The sequence below is a fragment of the Homo sapiens genome, chromosome 1 (genome assembly GCF_000001405.40).
Source record: "Homo sapiens chromosome 1, GRCh38.p14 Primary Assembly".
In the NCBI taxonomy this organism is placed as follows: Eukaryota; Metazoa; Chordata; class Mammalia; order Primates; family Hominidae; genus Homo; species Homo sapiens.
In genome coordinates this window covers 210,738,041-210,762,300 of record NC_000001.11, presented here as the reverse complement: position 1 = coordinate 210,762,300, position 24,260 = coordinate 210,738,041, and the positions used below count along the sequence as shown (strand labels likewise).

The 24,260-nt window shown below is 45.1% G+C and overlaps 1 protein-coding gene and 1 long non-coding RNA gene across 6 annotated transcripts in view, besides 1 other annotated feature; one reads left to right on the top strand and one right to left on the bottom strand.

The window, feature by feature from the left end:
• Positions 1-24,260, top strand: part of KCNH1 (potassium voltage-gated channel subfamily H member 1) — a 455,835-nt gene that overhangs the window by 371,848 nt on the left and 59,727 nt on the right. The gene's annotated exons all lie outside the window — the stretch shown is intronic.
• LOC105372901 (uncharacterized) overlaps positions 8,402-24,260 on the bottom strand; it is a 44,716-nt gene continuing 28,857 nt past the window's right edge. The window contains exons 3-4 of the long non-coding RNA XR_922550.3: positions 21,405-21,560; positions 8,402-9,002 (exon numbers count right to left, since the gene is read on the bottom strand). This is a non-coding gene — a long non-coding RNA (uncharacterized LOC105372901). The remainder of the gene's footprint in view (positions 9,003-21,404; positions 21,561-24,260) is intronic.
• Positions 22,407-22,607: a silencer, noted in NCBI's record as "peak679 fragment used in MPRA reporter construct". NCBI's record gives its function as "represses an SCP1 promoter by STARR-seq MPRAs in K562 erythroleukemia cells {active_cell/tissue: K562}" and the evidence as "EXISTENCE:reporter gene assay evidence [ECO:0000049][PMID:32103011]".

Sequence of the window (24,260 nt, the reverse complement as noted above, 5' to 3'; positions counted from 1 at the left end):
AGGTTGTTAATTTCAGATCTATCTATCTTCTTGATATAGGCATTTAGAACTATAAACTTTCCTCTTAACACTGTTTTTGATGCATCCCAGAGATTTTAGTATGTCATGTCTCTATTTTCATTTGTTTCGAAGAATTTTTTTTTAATTTCTGCCTTAATTTTGTTTTTTACCTAAAAGTCATTCAGGAGCAAGTTGTTTAGTTTCCATGTATTTGGGTAGTTTTAAGAGTTCATTTGGAATTGATTTCTATTTTTATTCCACTGTATGATTTTGATTTTTTTGAATTTATTGAGACTTGCTGTATGACCAAGCACGTGGTCAGTCTTAGAGTACGTTCCATGTGCAGATGAGAAGAATGTATACTGTGTGGTTGTTGGGTAGAGTATTCTGTAGATGTCTATTAAGTCCGATTGGTCGAGTACCAAATTTAAGTCCAGAATTTCTTTGTTATTTTTCTGCATTGACTACCTGTCTATTGCTGTCAGTGGGATATTGAAGTCCCCCACTATTATTTCGTGACTATCAAAGTCATTTCTCAGGTCTAGAAATAATAGTCTTATAAATCTGAATGTTCCAATTTTAATTGTATATATATTTGGGATAGTTAAGTGTTCTTGTTGATTTGAACACCTTTATCATTATGTAATGTTATTCTTTGTCCTTTTTTACTTTTGTTGGTTTGAAGCCTATTTTATGTGATATAAGACTAGCGACCCCCTGCTGTCTTATGTTTTCCATTTGTGCAGTAGATCTTTTGCCATCTCTTTACATTGAGTCTGTGGGTGTCATTACATGTGAGATGGGTCTCTTGAAGATAGCAAAAGGATGAGTCTTGTTTTTTTAATCCAATTTGCCACTCTCTGTATTTTAATTGGAGCATTTAGACCATTTACACTCAAGGTTAATGTTGCTTTGTGAGATTTTGTTCCTGTTGTAGTGTTGTTGGCTAGTTGCCAACAACTAGTTGACTAGTCTCAATTCTGTCATTGCTTTATAGGGTCCATGGGCTATGTGCTTACATGTACTTTTTTTTTTTTTTTTTTTTTTTTTTGACGGAGTCTCGCTCTGTCGCCCAGGCTGGAGTGCAGTGGCGGGATCTCGGCTCACTGCAAGCTCCGCCTCCCGGGTTCACGCCATTCTCCTGCCTCAGCCTCCCAAGTAGCTGGGACTACAGGCGCCCGCCACTACGCCCGGCTAATTTTTTGTATTTTTAGTAGAGACGGGGTTTCACCATTTTAGCCGGGATGGTCTCGATCTCCTGACCTTGTGATCCGCCCGCCTCGGCCTCCCAAAGTGCTGGGATTACAGGCGTGAGCCACCGCGCCCGGCCTTTACATGTACTTTTGTGGTAGCAAGTATCATTCTGATATGATTTGACTGTGTTCTCACCCAAATCTCATCGTGAATTCCCATGTGTTTTGGGAGGGACCTGGAGGGAGGTAATTGAATCATATTCAATAATTGAATCATAGGGGCAGGTCTTTCCCTTGCTGTTCTCATGATAGTGAATAAGTCTCATGAGATCTGATGGTTTTATAAAGAGGAATCTCCCTGCACAAGCCCTCTCTCTTTGCCTGCTACCATCCATGTAAGATGCGACTTGTGTCTCCTTGGCTTTTGCCATGATCGTGAGGCCTCCCCATATGGAACTGTAAGTCCATTAAAACTTTTTCTTTTGTAAATTGCCCAGTCTCAGTTATGTCTTTATCAGAAGCATGAAAACAGACAAATACACATTCGTTTGTTTCCATGTTTAGGACTCCTTTAAGCATTTTTTGTAGGACTGGTCTGGTAGTGATGAATTCCCTTAGCAATTGCTTGTCTGGGAAACACTTTATTTCTCCTTTGTTTATGAAGCTTTCTTTGGAAGGAAATGAAATTCTTGGCTGGCTTATCTTTTCAAGAATGCCAAAAATGGTCCCCAATCTCTTCTGGCTGGCAAGGTTTCTGCTGAGAAGTCTGTTCTTAGTCTGATGGTTTTCACACTAATACTATGAAAGGGTCATATTATAGTATTACCCTTTATAGGTAATATGATCCTTTTTATCTAGCTGCCTTTAAGATTTTTTTTCTTTCACATTGACCTTGGATAGTCTGATGACTATGTGCCTTGGAGATGGTTGTCTTGTATAGCAGCAGTCCTCAACCTTTTTGGTACCAGGGACCAGTTTTATGGAAGACAATTTTTCCATGAACTGGGGTGGCAGGGATGGTTTCAGGATGAAACTGTTTCATCTCGTAAGGAGTGTGCAACCTAGATTCCTCGCGTGCACAGCTCACAATAGGGTTCAGACTCCTATGAGAATCCAATGCCACTGCTGATCTGATAGGAGGCGGAGCTCAGGTGGCAGTGCTTGCTCACCTGCCGCTCATCTCCTGCTGTATGGACCCGTTTTTAACAGGCCTTGGACTGGTACCAGTCATGGCTCCAGGGGTTGGGAGCCCCTGTTGTATAGTATCTCACAGGAATTCTCTAGATTTCTTATATCTGCCTGTTGACCTCTCTAGCAAGATTGGGGAAATTTTCCTGAATTATATCCTCAAATATATTTTCCAAGTTGCTTACTATCTCTTCTCTCTTGAGAATGCTAATAAGTCATGTATTTGGTTACATTATGTCATCCCGTATTTCTTGAAGGCTTAGTTCATTTTTTAAAATTCTTTTTTCTTTATTTTTGTTGATTCAAACAAACAAATTTGGGTTAATTCAAAGGACCTATCTTAGAGTTCTGAAATACTTTCTTCTGCTTGGTCTAGTCTGTTGTTAAGGCTTCCTACTATATTTTGAAATTCCTGCCGTGAATTTTTCAATTCCAGAGTCTTGCTTTCATTTTTTCTTAATATAGCCATATTGTTTTTCAAATCTTGGATTGTTTTCCTGGCTTCTTTGTATTGGAATTCAACTTGCTTGTGATGTTTTTGGGTATTGGTGTTTGCCATCCATATTCTGAATTCTATGTTTGTCATTCCAGACATTTCATTCTGGCTCAGATCCATTGCTTGGGAGCTAGTGGGGTCTCTTGGAGGTAACATAACACTCTGGATTTTTTATTGCAGTGCTTCTTGCACTGGTTCCCTCTCACCTGAGAGAGCCAGCACTTCTTTATATATATATATAAAATATGTGTGTGTGTGTGTGTGTGTCTATCATTTGGATAGGTTTGGATAGGGCTTCTTGATTTTTTAATTCTTTTTTCCCCTTGGGGTATGACTGTGGTATATATTGTGCATAAGCAACTGCTTCATTTCTGGGAGCTTTCAGGGCACCAAGGCTCTGTATGAGTTCCATGTTTGCACATAGTTTTGTGCTATGGCTTCTCACACATTGCTTATTGTAGCAACGTAATTTTTGTTTGGTGATGTAATTCAGGCTGCAGTCCAGTAAGTGGCTTAAGAGTAAGAGCCGGCAGTTAGCGGCAGGGACAGAGGCAAGGGAGAAGCATGAAAAGCAACACCTCCCAGTGTGCGTTTGCCTTCACTGGGGATGGATTCACTGGAGAAGTCTGAGAAGTGGTTTCTTTCAGCCCATGCTCCCTGAGCCCCAACAGAAAGAGCCACTGATGAGTCCACAATAGTGCACTGAGGAGGTTGGTGGAAGGTGATATATTATCCCCTCTCCAGGTCCATTTCCAGGCTTTGGTGGTGCTCCCTTTAGCAGCTGGCACCACACTCACATTTTCTTTGACTCAGTGGGGACTTTGATGGGCTGTGATTCTCCCTTCTTTAAGGGTAGACTGTGCTTGAGGTTAGATCTCCAGGGGAGGGGGTTCCACCTCTCTCTTGCTCCTCAGCTGGTAGGCCACTGTCCCCCAGCTGACCAAGGGAGCAGGCTGGGGCATCCAGTAGTGGCATACACAGACTGGTTCCAGGTCAAAAAGCTGTCTCTGGCTGCAAGTCTTGCTGCCTGGGAGAAACCTTGGCTTCAGCTACTCTCCTTTCCTGTCCTGCGATGAGAGAGAGTCTAATTCCAGCACCTACTGCTGGTGCACTCTCCACACTTGCCACTCAGTTCTGCCTTTGGGGGCCTTTGTCCTGTCCAGAGCAAGCACTCCAATCTCTGGGCTGAAACTAAAATGCCTGCTTTGACCTCCACTTCCAGGTCACCAAACAATGTCTCTAAACTCTCAAAAAGGTACCATCTGTGGACTTGTGACTAGAGCAGGTAGGGCCCCTCTCAGGTGAGGAGCATGGGCAAGAAGCTGTGGGGAGTGTGGTCTTCTTGAGTCTCAAGACCATGCTCTTGCTTTTGTGCTGCACCTCTTCCAAATAGTGACCTCATTTCTCTGTCCTAGTAGAGCTTCCCTAGCTGATGGGTCCTCAGTATCCGCTGGAGGAGGCTGTCAGCCCAGGATTGGTTTTGGAGACTGCAGCATGCCCTGTGTAGCTCTTCAGTAATTCCATTAGAGCAGCAGGCCTCTGGCCACTGCCTAAGGGTATCCAGGCTTTATGGAGCCCCCACAGGGCTTGATAGCTGATGGTATTTGCATGATTGCTGTTTGTTCAGAGACAGAGGAAGGAGATGCAAATGAGTTTGCATAATTAAACAATGGAGCAGAATGATCCTCCTGACAAGTGGCTATTTGGCATGTGGCTCTGCTATGGTACCACTGAGGTAGCATAAAAGTCTGGTGATGGTCTGTGACAGGAATATTCAGAGCTGTAGTTTGCTTCTGTTCATCATGAGAGGCCAGAAGAATGACCTTCAGCTCTCAGTTGAGTGGCCAGCTTGACTGGAGATTTGCACCTGGGCACAACCTGAAGAGTCAGGGAGTGGCTTAGAATATGGCCAAAGCTGGGCTGGGAAGAAGCCTTAAAGGAAGAGTGGGAATATGATAACCATGAATCTAAGGCCTTTTCTGGCCATAGGAATAGTTAGGAAACTCTTTGAGGAAGTAACTCTTGAGCTGGATCTTGATAGAGGGGTAGGAATTTACCTGACTAGAAGAGAAACCCAGTCCCTTCTGTGTACTCCTATGTCCCTTATTATGGACAGGGCACAGAGATGGTTGATTCAAATGCCATCATTCGTCAAGTCCTATGGTGGCTCCATAGGGCCCAGATGCCCATAGGTGGTAGCCAATGGCCTGCTGCTTTAATGGAATTACACATGAGATAGACAGGGCATGCTGAAGCCCCCAGATTCATCACTGGGATGACAGCCTCCCCCAGGGCTACAAAGGGCCCATTGGCCAGGACTGCACTCCTAGGATCAGAGAAATAGAGTCACCAATTGGAAGAGGTGCAGCACAAAAGCAAGATGATTGATTAAATGGCTGATACTCAATCAGGAAGGTGCCTTTGCCAGGATGGGCTGATATGAGAACAGTGAATCTGAATTGCTAATCAGTAAGAACCTAGGAAGAGAGCCTTCTGAGAGAAATCACTATCCAGCTTCCCTCTCCCCCAAATTTGTTTCTAGCTCCTTCCTGACCTTGTTTTACCTAAGAGAAGGCTGCTTGAAGACACCAGAAGGGAATCGTCTCAGACTTTCAGGGTAGGCCAACCTTCAGGATTAGCCTTTTCTAGAAGTGTCTAGGGACCCCAAGAACAAGTGGATCAGCATGGACTGGGAAGCAATATTCCCAGGGGGCCACCAGTGAGTTCACTATCCCTTCCATCCTAATTCCCAGTACCAGGCAATGTTATAGAGTCCCAGTGGCTCCTCAAACTTTTCACTTCCCAGGCTTTTACATCCATCTGACTGTCCCTGAGCTGCCTATAGTAGCAAAGGCCAGTGTATTTTCCATGAGAGATTTAATTTTTAAAAAACCTCTTGCAACAGGCAGCATACTGAAGATTGTGCCTTATCACTTGGAGATCTATTTGCAGACAGCTTCTGTATTCTGCTGTATTTCCTGGCACACTTCTTGCAAATGCTTAAACCAGATATGAAAATAACTTCTGGTTGACAAAGTATGAATTTTTAAAGGAGGACATTTGTTTGTGTTATAGCATCTAAAACCCTGCATTCCTCAGGATGGAGCACATTATACACTGGACACCCCCTATTGGTAAAGTGATACTGCATCCTAACTCTGTCAGAAGATCTCTGTAACCATCTGGATGAACCAAGATATGAGGCTGGGTTCCAAAGACTGTAAGCAGGGGGAGGGTTTCTCCAGGCTATGGGACAAATCCTATGGCAGATGGCAGTAGGCGGAAGGATCATATATGAAAAAGAGGAGAGCACCTGTAGAGTTAGGAAATGGAGTTTAAAATATTGGAAATCTTAACAAACAAAAGTACACCATGAGGGGTTCCATAGCTAGCAGCGTGCCATGCAGTACGCTGGCAACCTCTCCTTTCGTAAAGTCACGATTTCAAGCATTTTTGCAGCAGAAATGTGATTAAACTTGATTTCATAAAAAGCAATTATGAAATTATTATGTAAAGTTAAGGATGTATGAATAGTGCTGCTTTTCTCTGATAATGTTCTCTCTTTGGTTTTCACTTCACTGTGGGGAGGACTCAGAAAATTTGCTGTGAGTGGAAGCCGCTTTCTTTTGCCCTAGGAAAGTGGGGATCTGGGGGAAAGAATCGGGCTAAGGGAAAGAAAGGTGCACTGAGAAATAAAGTCAAAGTGTACTCATAATTGGAGATTTCAGGAAGATGAATGGATTTTGCAGAAATATTTATGGAAAAGAGGAACCCGGTATCTGCTCTGTATAGACAAACTTCTTGCCCAGGGAGGCAGATGCCTTTGCAAACCTCAAACTGTGAGCTGGGCTAGAAGAAAACCCAGGGAAGGGCTTGCATGCCAAATCCAGTTTTCCCAGTCCTTCTGCCTCATGGCTGGATGAATGTAGCCGCGGAGTGGCTTTGTTTCGCTATTATGCTGCATGTTGAGACAGTTGGAGAGCTGCCAGATTTTTCATCCTGGGCTTTGTGTTAAAGCACTTCCTAATTCTTCTCTGACATTTCTCTCAGGTTAGAACCTGAACAGGGGTCCTTTCATCTTAAGCTTGTTGGACTGGTGCTGGAGGCAGCCCCTGATTATCTGTGGTCACAAGCAACAAAACTCCTTGGATTCTCTCTATAAGTAATCATTTTAAGCAGCTTTTCCATTTCCACCAGCCCCACCTAATCTGTTAGCAAAGCTGCATTCTGTGCCCATGAGCAGGGGCAGCCCACCCCCACCCCGACCACTCTGTGCTTCCTACTTCCCTCTCTGCCACTGTCGGTGACTGCTTTGCATGCACAGGGGTCACAGAGGGGACTAAAGCGTAAGCAGCTGCCCCTTTGTCACTGCATGAGCTTCGACTACTAATGTCTCCTTCTGCAGAAGCAGGCCCTGTTTGCACTTGTACATGTGCATGCATGCTCCCACACCCATGGCTGGAAGTTTGCTTGCTTTCCCCATGGACTGTTGTGTCTGCCAGCAATGTTGCTGCTGCTCTGTGTGTGTGTCTTTGTATGTGTCTGTGTGTGTGTGTGTGTGTGTGTGTGTGTGTGTGTGCCCGTGTGTACTTGTGTATCAGGCCCTCCTTATGTTGCTATAAAGAAATACCTGAGACTGGATAATTTATAAAGAAAAGAGTTTTAATTAGCTCATGGTTCTGCAGGCCATACAAGCATGGTGCCAGCATCTGCTTGGCTTCTGGGGAGGCCTCAGGAAGCTTTTGCTTGGGCAGAAGGTGAAGTGTGGAGCAGGCACGTCACACGGTAAAAGCAGGAGCAATAGAGAGAGTTGGGGGAGGTACCACACACTTTTAATCAAGCAGATCTCATGAGAACTCACTATCATAAGAACAGCACCAATCCATGAGGGATCCACCCCCGTGACCCACACACCTCCTATCGGCCCCCACCTCCAACATTGGGAATTACATTTCAACATGAAATTTGGGCAGGGAAAAAAATATCCAAACTATATCAATGTGTTAGCAGCATTTCCTCCTATCAGTGATTAGTCCTAAGAGTGGCAGCCAGGGAGAAGAAGGCTGGATAATCCACACAACAATTTCTTGGATCCAATCATCCCAAAAGTTCTGTTTCTTGGCCAGATGGTGGTGTTTTCAGGTCAGGTCTACTTGGCTTGGGAAGTATTTTTTTCCCTTTGGGTCAGAGATAAACATTAGTCTGGGCCGGATGCGGTGGCTCATGCCTGTAATCCCAGCACTTTGGGAGGCCGAGGTGGGTGGATCACAAGGTCAGCAGATCGAGACCATCCTGGCTAACATGGTGAAACCCCGTCTCTACTAAAAATACAAAAAAAAAAATTAGCCAGGCGCAGTGGCGGGCGCCTGTAGTCCCAGCTACTTGGGAGGCTGAGGCAGGAGAACGGCCTGAACCCAGGAGGCGGGGCTTGCAGTGAGCCAAGATAGCGCCGCTGCAGTCCAGCCTGGGCAAAGGAGCGAGACTCCATCTCAAAAAGAAAAAAAAAAAAAAAAATTAGTCTGATATTTGTAAGCTTGAAAACCCTACAAAGTGTTATGTTATATGGTGGTCAATTGTTCTTTGTGTATGTTTGCACTATATGGAGGGTAAATGCCCCCACTCGGGCCCCTGGCTTGAGCACAAAATCTTTAAGAATTATAATGGGCTGATGTAGGGGTGGGGTAGGGCCTGGGGAGAATAGAAAGTACATGTAATGCACTGAGTGCAGAGCCTTTTGGATCAAGGACCTTTTATGGTGTTTACAAAAAATCCATGCCTACAACCCCCCAGTGAGTTTACTATGAGTTATTCATGATCCTGAGTCTTTGGCTGAGGAGACAATAGGTGCACCTCCATTGAAAGAGTGGGAAGCTGTGCATCAAACACTTGGGCCCTGAGCCCAGGAACAAGTGTCCAGGACAGACCCTGCTTCTTCCCCTCACCAAAGCCGAGGACAACCCCATGGGGAAGCTGGGCTACTTGGCTTTCTTAGGCTGTCAGTGGCATCTGACTCCACGTTTCAATTGTTTACTTAGTTTCCACCTTATTTGAGTGTCTTTTCCATTATTTGTGTGTGTCCTGTATTGTCCAGAAGTCTCAGATTTTACTCATCATTCTCGAGCTTCCTGAGGAAAAGAAAACCATCATATTGGTGGCTACTTGAGAGTGGTACATACTGTGATATCTCCCTCCCATGTCCCCCACACACTTGGGGGATCCCCTAATTATTCGTTTCCTATGACTGGTGTAGCAGATTATCATAAATTTGGTGGCTTAAAACAACATAAATTTATTCTCTCACACTTTCAGGGGTCAGAGGTCAGAAATCAAGGTGTTGGTAGGGCCACATTTCCTTTGAAGGCTATAGGGGAGAACACTTCCTTGCCTCTTTCAGCTTCTGGTGGCTCCTGGTGATCCTTGGCTTGTGACCACATCATTCCAATCTCTGCCTCTGTGTTCATATGGCCTTCACCCCTGTGTCTCTAGGGTTCAAATCTCCCACACCTTTCTCTTATACGAACATAGTCACAGGACTCAGGGCCCACTCTAAATGCAAGATGATTTCATCTTGAGCTCCTTAAATTAATTACATTTTCAAAGATCTTATTTCCAAATGAGGTCACATTCATAGGTACCAGGGTTTAGGACCCTGGCACATATCTTTGGAGGGGCTTGGTGAGGAGGCATAATTTAACCAACTACACATCCCTTTCCTCTTCCTCTTTCTAATTTCCTCCGTTCTCCTCCTTCTCTTTTCCCTCCTCATCCTCTGTTCCCTATTTCTCATTTTCCACCTCCTCTTCCTTGAGTACCTTGAAGCCAGCACAGGAATCTTCTTTTTATGCAGAAAATATTCTTATGTAAACTGTGTTTCTTCTCCCCAGAAGTTCTTGGAAGAAGGTCCAAGTATTTGGTTAATTGACAGTTCCTTTGACTCTCAGAGTAAAATATCAGCTTCCTTTGCCTTCTCATGAAGCGCAGCTACATAGAAACCAGTGGAACTCTCTGCTTGACGGAGAGATTCACAAAGCACAGCGGACATCAGGATCTCAGGAAAGAGATTTGTGTTAGACATTAGAGCTTCCGGCTGCCAGGAGTTATGAGCTGGTGGTAAGTGATACCCAAGGAGTTATGGACTCTCCTTCATTATAGCTGGTTAAGAACAACCTTTTGTTGACTTTCAAGCTCTGATCTCTGTCCTTTTCTTGTTCTAAAATCTTCGATGATTCCTTACAGCCTTGGAGTAAAATCCAGACCCAGGGATCTTCTATAAACTTGTATTTCCAGTTGCAGTTCAGATTGTATCTTCATTCTTTTGCCTGATACCTTTGCCCCACTGGGCTACAATAGTTACAGAACATGCAGTGTACTCACTTCGGCATGTCCTTCACACTACCTTACCTCCTCCCATCAAAACCCAATCTGGCCTTCAAAATCCAGCTCAGATTCTGTTTTCTGCTTGCAGCCTTCCTCAGTCTACATCCAGCTGGAATCTCTCTCTTCTCTAATTTGTGTTTCCATGGTGTTCTGCTTGTCCTTTAGAGCAGGTATCGCCTATGGTTTCTTATATGGTTCAGCACATGTCTAATATTTCTCCTGGATTTGGGGGCTTTATTCATATTTTTATTTCTTGCATTTCTTCATACAGTGCCTCAATGTTGTAAACAATAATTTAAGCTACTGGAACCACAGCTAAATTTCCACTCAGCCTTTGCACTTCAAGTCAAAAGTTAGTGAGGATTCCACCCTCACATTTTCAGCCCCCCTCTTCTCCTACCTCTCAGCAGCAGGCACCCTCAGGTCCAGCCAGGCCGCTACCCCAGTGGCCCCTACCCACTACACCAGGGTGACTAGCTGTCTCACTTTGCCTGGAACTGTCCTAACGTTAGCACTTAAAGCCTTGCATCCTGGGAAACCCCTTAGTCCCAGGCAAACTGGGATCATTGGTTGCCCTACTCCACACTTAGCCTCTTCTGACTCTTGCTAAAATTCTTAAAATTGAATTTTATGTCCAGGCTCTATCTTCTTCTAGTCATTTGTCATACAGCCACTAAAACTGCTTTCTTCGTGTGAGGATGGGCATCTAGTCCTGGCTCTGTCCCTGCACAGCCCTCCCAGCTCTTCTGTCAAATGCAGCCTCATCAATGTGATTTCTGAGCTTGCGTCCAGCTCATCAGCCTCCTGACCTTCTCTCTCTTCTGCTCCACCTCAGCCCAAACTGTAACTCAGTCTATGTAGATGACCCTCTCAGTTTCCTACACCACATCAAAGAGGGCCTGGGAGTACTGGAACCCCAGACATAACTCTCCTCTCTATAGAACCACAACTCAAAGATGCCTCCTCCAGAAAGCTCTGCCTAGGAAACTCCTACCAGCTTAGCACCAGTCCATTATTCTTCCTCTGGAGGCTCTTAAGTGACTGAATTGATCAGTGTCTCTTAAGAGAAGTACCTGTTGCCCTGGACTAGGTGCCAGAACTTGGATTCTACTCCAAATTTGCCACCAGGGCAAGTTCTTAACCTCAATTGTGTTCATTGTAAAATGAGAACATTAGATGAGCTCTCATATTTTTAAGAGTCATCCCAAACTTGGATTCTAATAGTATCTGCCCATCCAGTTTGCTCTGGAGAGTGTAAGATACAAATGTCTTAAACAAGATGGCATTGGAAAGAGGCTTCCGAAATCCCATCTTACATTGGCTCATTCCCTGCCACCTGTCCCTGCTTGACTTGTAATTCCTATCTTTATCTTTTGATTCCCCTGTAATCCCATCCTGGCCCAGCCAAAAAAGCTACCACCTACAGCTTAAGAGATTTGACAGTATAATTAGAAGACCAAGATTCCTTCCTGTGACTTGGCTTATGAAACTGAAGATTTGGGATGAGCAGTTAGATTCTTAAACCTTGTCCTGGGCTCAGTTTCTACCAGACCCAAAATTATGTCTGATTTTTCCCTTTGTGCCCCAGATAAACTCATCAGGACCTACTTGTTGCTGCCTTTAAATGTTTTCGATGCAGCTGAGTCTATTGAAGTAACAGGCTGGGTGACCTTCCTGGCTTAGAACTCTAAAATGTGTGCAAGTCCTCGTGTGTGTACAGGACACAAATAGCACAGTTAGCGTCTGTACTCTGCTTTACTTTGGACAAGGCACTTTCACATATTTTATCTTATCGGATCCTTGCTACAACTTTATGAGGTTGGTATTATTGTTATTATCCCTATTTTTCCATTTGGGGAATCTGAGGCTCAAAGGAGCAAACTGTGGTATGTGGGAGTGTGTGATCAAATCAGAGCTTGAAGTCACATCCTCAATTCCAGATCCCATGCTCTTTCTGCTGCCCACATTTCAGCCCACGTGCCTGCAGTAAGATAGCAAGCAGCCAGCTGGACGCGGCGGCTCACGCCTGTAATCCCAGCACTTTGGGAGACGGAGGTGGGCAGATCACCTGAGATCAGGAGTTTGAGACCAGCCTGGCCAGCATGATGAAACCCCATCTCTACTAAAAATACAAAAATTAGCCAGGCATGGTGGTGTGTGCCTGTAGTCCCAGCTACTCGGGAGGCTGAGGCATGAGAATCACTTGAACCTGGGAGGAGGAGGCCGCAATGAGATGAGATCACGCCATTGTACTCTAGGCTGGATGACAGAGCGAGGCTCCATCTCAAAAAAAAAAAAAAAAAAGTGAGCAGCCTTGGCTCCTGTCATGCAGGGGTCCTCACAACATTCCACTGACAGAGGTGGCCAAGGGAAGTTGCCTATGTCCCAAGTTATTTCTATAAACTGGTGTCTCTTAACCTGTAATCTGCACACAAATCATCTGGGATCTTGTTAAAAATCAGGTTCCAAGTAGGTTCCAATTCAGTAGGTCAGGAGAGGGGTCAAAATTCTGCATTTCTAATAAGCGCCCAGGTGATGCTGTGTTGCTGATTGAACACCCTGACACTGAGGACTTGGGCATGATATAGAACTGTTCATTACCACTAGGGCCCTGTGGGTATTGCTCATGCTGTCTGTTCTTTGCTGTTAGGTTTCCCCCATACAAGGTTTTCTCTCTCTAGTGAAAATCTGGCCATCCATTATCTCCTTTTACTTAAAAGCTCAGGTAAAATCTCTCCCAGAAGCCTCTCTTGGGAGTTCTATATGTTTCTGCCTCTCTGTTTGCAGGCAGTGAGCCTGCCTGGGCTCTGAGGTGGCCTGAGGTAGCTTTCCCATCCAGCCAAGGGAACTGAAGAACTTTCTTATTAGGATTCTTTTTGAGGGGCTGGGTGGACATAGTGGGACCCTGGTGGCATTTGAGCAAGACGAGGGACTGCAGGGTATCAAGAGCCAAGCCTCTAAAATGAGGCCAAACCTGGCTACCGAAAGCAGGAGAGCCTGGGGAGAATTCAAACTGGGGCAGTACAGGAAGGCAAGAGGAGGAAGCCGGAGCAGAGCCAAGTGGACAGGGCAAGGAGAGTCTGTGAACAGGAAACAGCCAGAAGGCCAAAGCCTGGGGCAGTGGGAGCAGGTAGGACAGGTGGGGTGTGAAGGGCCAAGTGGAGGTTTCAGGCCTGAGGTTCTGAATAAATCTGGGGAGTGGGAAGCCTGGTTCAAGAGGGCTAATACAGGGAGGACTCAAGGGTGACAGGAGGCTGTGGGGTGAGACAGTCCAGCCAGGGAGGATGGGCAAGTCACCACAAAGCCAAGTCCAGCCTTCCAGTTAGAAAAGCACCTCAGAACTGATGCCTGCCTGGCATGGGCCAGGAGAGTCTTTGGTGTAAGGGGTCAGATCTCTTTGGAAAGGGGCTGTGCTTATTTATCTCGGCCTGCCACCTCCTAGGGGAGCAATGTATTTTGATAGAGTTATTATTATGATTATGTAGCTTCCATAGTACCATAACGTTGAATATTGGTTCTTTTTATTATCATTTCCCAGCCGTAAGTTTCACTCTGACATGCAACCCTGTGTTAGGCACTGTATTATCTCTAAAATAAATCTTAAGGATTTCGAGGAGAGGGATTATGGTTTGGGAGTTCTGTCATAATAGTTGCTCAGTAAATGCTTCGTTAACTAAGGGTTTCTTTCTCCTTCTGTTTCTAAAAGTGACTGTCTATGAGGCAGATTGAGTGTGAGATGTGTGTGTTTTGTTTCTGATGGTCAGGGTTGGGCATCAAGGGGTGAACATGGGATAAGAGAGCCCAGATACCCACTATCCCACTCCTGCGTCACGCCCTGGGGAGGTCTGAAGGCCACCTGGACACAGGAGCACGTGGACCTGCTGGCTCCTGCTGACCTCCTGCACCTGACACATGATGCATCACCCTGGGACCTGGCCTTCACACCCATGCAGCTGTGCCGCCTACAGAGTGAAACCAGAGCTCTGCCCCTGAGCAGAGCCAAGGCACGTGGCTGGCAGTGCCATTGTGCCTGAACACACACACGTGCATTGGCATGTACTGACTGTCTTTTTCTCACTCATTCCTGAACCTGCTCTACTCATTTGTTCCCTGTCAAAGGATCTCATCTCAGGACTTAAATTATATTTGTGTGATTTTTTTATGTATTTATTACATGGTGCAGCTAGGGGGAAAATGTTGTTTTTTATAATGATGAATATGTCCAGTTTCATCAATATAAACTAGTTGGTGGACTAGCCAAATTAGAACTAATGAAATCCTAAACTGTGAAATCATAGTAAAGAACTCGGTAGAATACTATTACATTCAAGCCATTCAAGCATGCCTACTTTAAGAAAAAGGTGAAATACTTTGTTCCTTAGTAAAGCATTTTTTTTTTTTTTTGCATGTGAAAGATAAAGGAATACACAGTTTGCCCCTAGGAGCTTAATATCTTCCCAAGTCTTTGTTGTTTATTAATCTGCTCATTAAATCTTCCAGTAAATATAGTGGTATATATCAGCCCCATCCTCTCCAACATAAACATGAATTCATGGGACCTGAATTTAAAACACTTTAATATTATGCACCCTTCCCTTTCCCTTCCTCACTTTACACTCAGAAACTGGGGAATGAAGTGAAAGCTCCCAGAGGAGGACTGAAGTGTGTGACCCTCACTGAATTCCTACCTCCTTAGACCCTGATTTCTATCTCGGTTGCCGAGCAGCTGCACAACCCAGGTTGGCAGAGGGACATAAGCCAGTGCTGTGGTCATACCTCCCTGTGGCTCTCTAAGACTGCCCTGAGCTCAGTAACATCAGGGGAGATAGGCACACAGGAATCGGGCAACTATAGATGTGGACTCATTTTATAGAAATCAGTTTGGTAATTCCTCTCTGCTTAATAAATCCATTATTTTCTACTTAAAACCTAGTCCCTTCCTCCAACCCACAAGGTGGTGGTTTCTCTGGCCTTCTCTTCCCCTGTTGCAGTGTGAAATCTTATAAGTTTCTGGAGTTTCCCTAATGAATGGTAATGAACGGTCTACTCTGACTATATTACTGGACAGAAGATTCCCAAAGCCAGAGAGGGCTGTGCTGAAGTCAACAATTTCCCCCTTCCTCTGTCCCATTCTGCAGAAAACCTTGGTGTGCCCTCTACCCAGGGCATAAGGGACTGTTAGTTAAGAAAAGGTTGTAATAGCCGGGCATGGTGGCTCTCGCCTGTAATCCCAGGACTTTGGAAGGCTGAGGCGGGTGGATCACTTGAGGTCAGGAGTTCAAGACCAGCCTGGCCAACATGGTGAAACCCTGTCTCTACTAAAAATACAAAAATTAGCCAGGCATGGTGGCAGGCACCTGTAATCCAGCTACGCAGGAGGCTGAAGCAGGATAATCGCTTGAACCCATGAGGTGGAGGTTGCAGTGAGCTGAGATCATGCCACTGTGACAGAGCAAGACTCTATTTAAAAAAAAAAAGAAAGAAAGAAAGAAAAGATTGTGTGACATCATAGTCTGTGTATTGCAGCCCCCGTGCTGTCCTGGTGCTATGGGGAGTAGAAGAGAGGCTTTGAGAGGCACTGGGATGGATTAAAAGAGGGCTGGACTTGAAGCCAAGGCTCACATTCTACAGGTACCATTTAGTAATTGTATGACCTTGAGCAAATTTCATCACCTCCAGAGCCTCTATTTCCTCATCTGTAAAATGAAAGGGGAGGCATCTCTGCTTTACTCATACAATTGTTATGAGTTTCACCTAAGAGCATGAGAGGTAGTTTTTACACAATAAAACTCTGCACAAGTATAAAGTGCATCTGGGGCCTTGCCTCAGAGTCTGGCAGGCTGCATGACTCACAGAGTAAGAAGGGAAAAAAGAAGGGTGCCCCTGGAGCTGGCCACCATGACAGTTCCTGAAGATCAACCTCTTTTTAGAGGGTCACTGCCCCATATTTATCAATAACAGGATCAACTAGATCCCAGGATGCTGGCCAAAAAGAAATTGGCATACCACAGCCTCTCTCTGTGTGTGTGGCTGCCCCAGCTCTCGAAGAATGGGCCTCTTCTGGCATTCCCCTTAAAATGCTGGCCTGCCTGGTATTCTGTGAGTAAAAGCACCACCCCCCCTCTAGTGCCAGGGTGACCTTTCTCCCTGTTACTCTGCTACCACCCACCACAGGCCTGGGTCCTTCTCCCAGAAGAGGGCTGCTTGGCTATACAGCCACTGTGGATGCCCTCCTGACTCCCCACCTCTTTCCCCTAAGGCCTCCCCTGAAAAGCCTTCTAGAACTGACAGCTGGAGAAGAGAAAGCAACTGGGCACTGAGGCTGGGCCAGCCCAGCACTGCTTGGGGGCGGGTGGGAGCGGGTTTATCTGACCAACTTTGGGATAGTAGAAAAAGCTAGTTCCCCAGTGTGATTTGAAACATGTAAAGTGGTGGTACTTTCCAGAACAGTATGGAGATGCCAGGAGACCCCTATCATGTGACTCCTGCTTCATATCATTTTATACCAGATAAATGGCTTTTAAGTCTAGTGACCATCGTTTCTTAATTGGCATATGCAGTCAAACAGAGGTCTTTTTGGCTACTTTCAGAAGCAGGCAGCCATCTGAAAAATACAGTTTTGGATGCGAAAATACCAGAATTTCTAGGTTAAAAAATGGAGCAGAATAGTTGAATCCTGGCTACCCTAGAAAAATCCAGGGGATGGAAGGCACCCATAAACCATTTCCTCAGAGACCTTCCCTTGCTCTCATGCTCCCAATCCAGGTTAGTCCCTACATTGGCTTTTACTCATGGCATTTTTTTTTCTTCATAGCACTTAAACAATTTATTATTATTATTATTGAGACAGAGTCTCAGTCTGTTACCCAGGCTGGAGTGCAGTGGCATGACCTCCACTCGCTGCAACTTCTGCCTCCCACGTTCAAGCGATTCTTGTGTCTCCAGCCTCCAGAACAGCTGGGACTACAGGCACGCACCACCACGCCCGGCTAATTTTTGTATTTTTAGTAGAGATGGGGTTTCGCCATGTTGGCCAGGCTGGTCTCGAATTCCTGACCTCGGGTGATCCACCCGCCTTGGCCTCCCAAAGTGCTGGGATTACAGGAGTGAGCCACCATGCCTGGCCAACAATTTATAATTTTACATATGTAATCTTTGTTTAACATTTACATCTCAGGGTAGCTTTGCCACCTGCTTTATCCCCGGTAACTAACGGCGCTTGGGTCTTGTAGGGTGGGTCCCATGGATCTTTGGCTCCCAGACACTAGGCATATTTTTCAATGTGTGGTTCCTCATTAAAAAGGTAAATTCATGACCCCACCCTAGATCAACTGAATTAGAATCTATGGGGTAAGGCCCAACAACCTGTGGGGTTTTTTTTGTTTTGTTTTGTTTTTGTTTTTGAGACAAAGTCTCACTCTATTGCCCAAGCTGGAGTGCAGTGGCACAATTTTGGCTCACTGCAACCTCCGCCTCCCGGGTTCAAGTGATTCTCCTGCCTCAGCCTCCTGAGTAGCTGGGACTACAGGCACACACCACCATGCCTGGCTAATTTTTGTATTTTTAGTAGAGATGGGGTTTCACTATGTTGGTCAGGCTAGTCTTGAACTCCTGACCTCGTGATCCGCCTGCCTAGGTCTCCCAAAGTGCTGGGATTACAGGCGTGAGCCACCGTGTCCGGCTCAACCTGTATTTTATCAAGCCCTGCATGTGATTCTGGTGCACTTTGAATCTTGAGGACCACTGTATTAGGATTTGGGACAAATTCTACAATGCTGCAGAGGTTAAGGAATAGACTTACATGGGCCGATGGTCAGTAAGATAAGATAGACATGGGTTCCTCATTATCTCATCAGGGGTGCTGGGGCTTGGGCATACTCTGAGCCTGCATTCCGGTGGAGGGACCACATCCCCCTTGCTTATCCTCCCTCTACAGGAAAAATGAGAGAGCAAACAGTAATGAAGGGCCATAGAAAGGCACAGGCAGGCTGGATCTGGGATGCCAGCTGCTTACAGGAGTGGTCTAGGAAAGCCTTCTGCCTGGCACCGGAGAGCCCTAAGGCCCATGAGAAGCTGTAAACCACCCACCTCAATGGACAGTAGAAGCCCCCAGCCCCTGGGAAGTGGAGCTTGAGTGTAGTCCCTCCCACAGGGAGAAGGGGAAGCTCCCAGTCCCAGCTAGCTCAGTGCCCAGATGTTGCAGAGCGGGCTCCCAGAGTTATTATGGGACAGCTCTGCTAACAAACCTGACACAGAGTAGGCACTTGATATTTTGGGGGTCAATGAGTAGAGTCACTTCCAACTCTGATGCTGATTCTGCTTCACAGTTTAGATGGATCACCTGCAGACTTGTGGCTGTTGAAATATTTAAACAGTAAAGATTTCTCTTGATAGGCAGGCCAGAGGCTGTGTCAGTCCCAGTCCTGTCCCCAAGTCTAAAAATAGGCGTTCTTGTCCTAGACTTCCAGATTCCTCACTTCCATGCGGTCACCCTGGCTTCTTGCGAGGGATGGAGGGTTCCTCAGCCCACTGCTCAGGCTGTAACCAGGACCCCTAGATTGTCAGATCTTCCTAGGCCAATGGAGAATCCCAGTCTTTCTGGCTGCCAAGGCTAAGGTGGTGATCAGGAATACCTCTTTCTACCTGAATGGAAGAGCCTACTAGAGATCTGATTCCAAAGGCTTTCTGTGAGGCTGCCTCGCCTTGCTGGGAAAGCTGCTCTCCCCTTCATTGTACCACCCCCACCCTAGGGCCTCTTTCAGGACACTCGGACTGGCTATGATTGTGCACTTAGTAGCCTCTGAGCAACTGAAGGGAAACCAGTTACACAGTGCCTCTCCTGACACCTACTAGGAAAGGACAGCTCCGTCTAGCTCCAGGATCTCATCTCTTTCTTCCCTCTTTCTTCTACTCCCCATGACTCTTGCTTTGGCCAGGAACTCACCTTATCTCCTCCATCTTTTGTGAAGTAGCCTGTTTAATTTACTACATGAAACATTTACAAATGGCCCCCTTCCTTGATTCTTAATTTATTCCTGGTGCTTTAATCTTTATCCTCTTTCTTTTCTCTCTTCCTGCTGGAATACATTTTTTGGACCAATAAATAATGCAATTGATAATGCTTTGAAGTCTTTTTGTAGTATCTCCTGTACTTGAAAACACACACACATGCACGTGCACGCGCGCGCGCACACACACACACAGACACACACCATGAACTGAGCCTCCTCGTTCGTAACTTGCATGTCTCAGGCACATTATTCTTCCTTTTGCTCTGCATTAGACAGTTATTTCCAGGTTAATTCCCAGATATGATTGCCTTCCAGACAGCTTCTCCTTGAGCCCCTGAGCCCTTGTCTAGAGATAAGAGCTGGGAAGGTGCGGCACTAGGGACATAGCAGGGCCTTTTGAATTTATCATTCTTTTCTGGGAAAGTGCATGAGGCAGTAGTCTAAGACCCAAACTGTCTGCTGTCATTCAAATTCAGCACCATCCAATAAGAACCACTGAGTGCCCAGCATTGTACCAGGAGAAATCCCAGAGACGCAGTGGTCTGCGGCCTGCCTCCTTGAGCCCATAGGAAAGCAGGGGATATGAAACTATCAAGCCAGGAATTCTATTTCCCATCTGGATGGTTACCCCAGCATTGTTCCCCTGGGGACTTAAAGATAAAAACCATGGGCTCCAGTGCACCAGGACTTCCAGCTGAATGAAGGAATGAAGGGAATCCTTTGAGGACAAATCACCTTGAATGAATGGTCCCCTTTTGCTAAGATTTATTCTAGCCAAATTCCCAGAAATAAAGTGAGATTTGTTCAGGCCAAATTCCCAGAAATAAAATAATTCCTTCAGAATTCATGGTGACTAGATTTGACCTGTTGTCCTTTTATTTATTGTTTTTTGTGTTCTCTGCCTTTCTGTGACTCAACTTGCTAGTTCTGAGAAGGCCTTTGGTTAGGCAGCACTGTCTCCTCTTGGCCTCAGCTCCAGCAGGTGACTTCCTGACTCAGCCTGGCAGCTCACCCAGTTGTTTTCCTTCCAATAGTTATGAGAGCACTATCTCTAATCAATTAACTTCAGGCAAATTAAGCAAGATTTTGCCTGCCAGGAATCCCATCCATGCTCTTTAATCTAGCGGGGCTCTTCTGCCCATCCCCCAGCACACTTCCTTTCTGTAGTCCTTTAGAATATCCCCACACTGATGTCAAGTTAAGTAACACAGATCATCACTGCAAGAATCAGCAGGTGCCCCAGGCTGCCCCTGTCGGTTGATGGGCTATTGACTATTTCCGCTTGGTACCTGAGACAGGGCTGGTCTCTTGTACACAGAACGCTCGCAGGCCTCACACAGTTTGGGAGGCACATTCTGTGGGCCAGGGCTTTCAGTGAGGGCCTTCCATTAACCTCCTGTGCCTCTATCCTCCTCATGTCTGCTTTCTTGCAGTGTTGCTTGGGTAGAACAATTGTTAGGTGCAGCTTGGTGTTAAGATTCCCCAGAAGGAAAATGGCCTGAGTACAGCTTCAGTTTTCACGTCTGCTTGGCCCCATCTTTCACAGCTGTTGCTTTTTTCCTGTCCTCATTCCTTTCTCCTTTCGCCTCCCCACCCATATAAGCAGAAGGACTGAGGAACAAGACTGCCACGGAGGAATGGTTTGGCCTGGGTCCTCCTGCACTCCTCTTGCCTTTGGGGATTCTCTTGCACCATTTATATGGAGCATGTTATATTTACCAGTGTGTTTCAGTTTCATAATATGAATTCATTTATCCTGTTGTAGGTAAATCTGTGATTACACAGGCCAAAATAAAGAAGTTTGCAATATTCTGTTATTTTTTATGTCTTCACTATCATGGATCATGTGACGGCATCATTCAGAAAGCACTTCTTCTTATACTCGATGATACGTACTCCAGTCATTCGAAGGATCCTAGTGACCACTTTATCATAGCCTGCAGTGGACCAATTTAAATGAGCATGTGTCTCCCTAGGTGGAAGATATTTAGTCCTTTTAGAGACTTGAATTTTCTTTAAATGAGGGGAAAGCAGGTACCTTGATCAGTATGATGGGGAATGATTGAAAGGATAGGTTTCAATTTTTGGTTTTGAGACAAGTCACCTTTGCCATATTTTAGCCTCTGGAGCTGGCTTTACCTGATGATGTGTGATTCCTCCATCACGGTGATTGTGAAGAAATGTTCTCCGTCCTTTCCTCCCTCCTCTTCCTTCTCACTCTCTGTTTTTACATTTAAAAGACGTGGTAAGTGTGTTTTAGCTGTCACAAGCCTGAGTTTGATTCTTCCAAAGTTTCTTTTAGTAAAAAAAAAAAAAAAAAAAAAAAAAAAATTTAATCATAAAATTTAATCAGAGACTTTTTCTCAAAGTTGGGGGAAAGAGAAGAGAGTTAACATAGGAGATGACTATTTTAAATCCCAACAGGTAAATAACAGAGAGTGAGGGAAATAAGATCATGGCAGCCTGTAAGTAAAATTCTAAAAAGCATGCCAGAAGAGACCAGCTTCTGGCAGAGTATAAGACTGAGAATCTAGGAATAAAAGAAGGAAAAACAAACCCAGAAACAATAGAGTTAGGTAATCATGAGAGGAAGAAGCAGAACCGAATATAGAAGCCTCATATCATGGATAACTTTTCTTTGGGTCTAAATATAGTCACCATTGTTAGAAGGTAAAAGTCTGTTTCTGAAAAAAAGATAGGAGGGAATGAAAAGAGCTTTATCGGAGAGTTGATTTTGTAACTGTATTTGAAGAAAAATGAGGTGGACATTCTTTTCAGAGATGGTATTTCCTGATGTTCTGGGGAACATTTTGAATGTATTGATGGAAATAAATGTGTAGGGTTGGATTGTCTTGTTCATCTTTATCTGTCTGTGCCCTCCTGCCTTGTGTATCCTTCTATCTAGCATATCCATTTTCTTCCTTTCTTCAAATCCCTGAGTAGGTTTCCAGGAAGGTTTACTATCTTTACTTAGCTCCTGTCCCTCTAGCCACTCTACATTTAACTCTATAGAGTCCCTGCAAGATTAAGCTTTTGTTGTTTGTGCTTCTGTGTTTTTTTCCCCCCCTGGTATCTTGGATTGACCTTTAGGACTGAGACTATAATGCAACAGCTGAGCTTTTCTATCTGCAGAATATAGGCCCTAGAGTCCTGAATTCAACTGGGTTTGTGTTGTGCTGCGAGGTCCATCCTCCCCAAGCTCACAAGAGATGCTGTCCTGGGTGCTGATCAACTGTGTGTCATGCAGTTAAGGTGACTTCTAAACTTGCAGATATCATAGCCTGAAAATTCAGTTTAGCTAAGACCCTATGGCCAATTTCCAAATACAACTACAAGCACTTTTAAGTTGGAGCTGAAAAAGGTATCAGTGAGCATTCATGCCAGACTACTAAGACTTATCAGCTCTTATTTATCCCTGACCTCTGCTAGTCTCTTTTCAATGATAACAAGCCTGGTAAAATACTGCAGCACCAGCCCAGCAGTGCATGTTCAGGGTGGCCTTGGGTCCTGCCAAGTTAGCTTCATCTCTGAGGACTTTCCATAGCCAGATATGGCCTCTCAAAGGCAGGAAAGCAAACCATGCAGTCTAGTGGGGGCCTCTAGCTGTTGCTTGGGGGGGCTCCCTAACTCCAGAAGCTATGATGCAGAATGAAGGTTCAGTCCTAAGACAATGAGCAAGATAACTGACCCTACTGTTGTAGTTCTAGTCAGGATGGGGAGTGAGCACTATTGAGAACAGGATTGGCAAATCAAGCTCTAACGTCTGGACTCTTTTCATACAGTCTCCTACTTCACTTCTTGGGCTTCCATTTCCTTTTCAGTAAAATGAGGGGTTAACTCACATTTTAGAGATACAAAGTAATATGGGCACCTGTCAATATTATTTTTAATAAGATTGTAGAACTTTAGACTGAGGATCATTCCTAGAATATCAGTAGAAAGACAATCTGTCTGACTAGAACTCTCATGGAGCATGTAATACTTTTATTGAGCACAGGATAGTATAGGAATTGGGAGTGAAACAGCCTATCAATTGCAGTTATTACATTTTAAGCACCAGAAAGTGACACTAGCTACTTAAGAAAAAGGAGAATTTATTGGAAGGAGGTAAAGCTGCTCACAGAATTTAAGGTATAGCTGATGAATCAGGCTGAGAAACAATAGAATCGAGGTCAGGCGCAATGGCTCATGCCTGTAATCCCAGCACTTTGGGAAGCTGATGCAGGAGGATCACTTGAGCCCAGGAGTTCAAGATCAGCCTGGGAAACATAGCAAGATCATTTTACAAAAAAATACAAAAATTAGCTGGGTGTGGGGGCATGCACCTATGGTCCTAACTACTGAGGAGGCTGAGACAGGAGGAGGAGTCCTTGAGCCCAGGAGTTTGAGGCTGCAGTGAGCTCTGATTGTGCCACGGCACCGGAGCCTAGTGACAGAGCAAGACCCTGTCTCAGAAAAAAAAAAAAAAAAAAAAAAAAAAAAAGCAAAAAAGCCAAGCCAGGAATACAGGTTCAATGTTATCAGGGCATTACTGCTGGGATGGATCCATTCCAACTGATTTTCCCAACCCTCTGGAGTCATAGACCCAGAAGAGAACATCGATTTTCCTAGCTTGAGTCATGTGCCCAGCTTTAGCTACATTTTCTCATTTGTTCACAAAACATGCAATGAGAGTTTCTGATGTGTCAGGCTGTGCTGTGTATCAGAGATACATCAGTGAATACGGTCACTGCCTTCATGGATCACTTGACGTAGAGTGGCCAGAGAAGCCTTCACAAGTAAGGAGACATTTGAGCAAAAGCTTAGATTCATTGAAGGAGAAGACTGTGTAGATATCTGAGGAAGAGGGTCCAGGCAGAGGAAATAGCAGGTGCAAAGGCCCTGAGGTGTCTGAGGGGAAGCAAAGAGACCAATATGGTTGCGGGGGGAGTGAATGAGAGGAGAGTGGTAGCAAATGAATTCAGAAGTGGAGGTGGAAACTCATTCTTGTGGGCC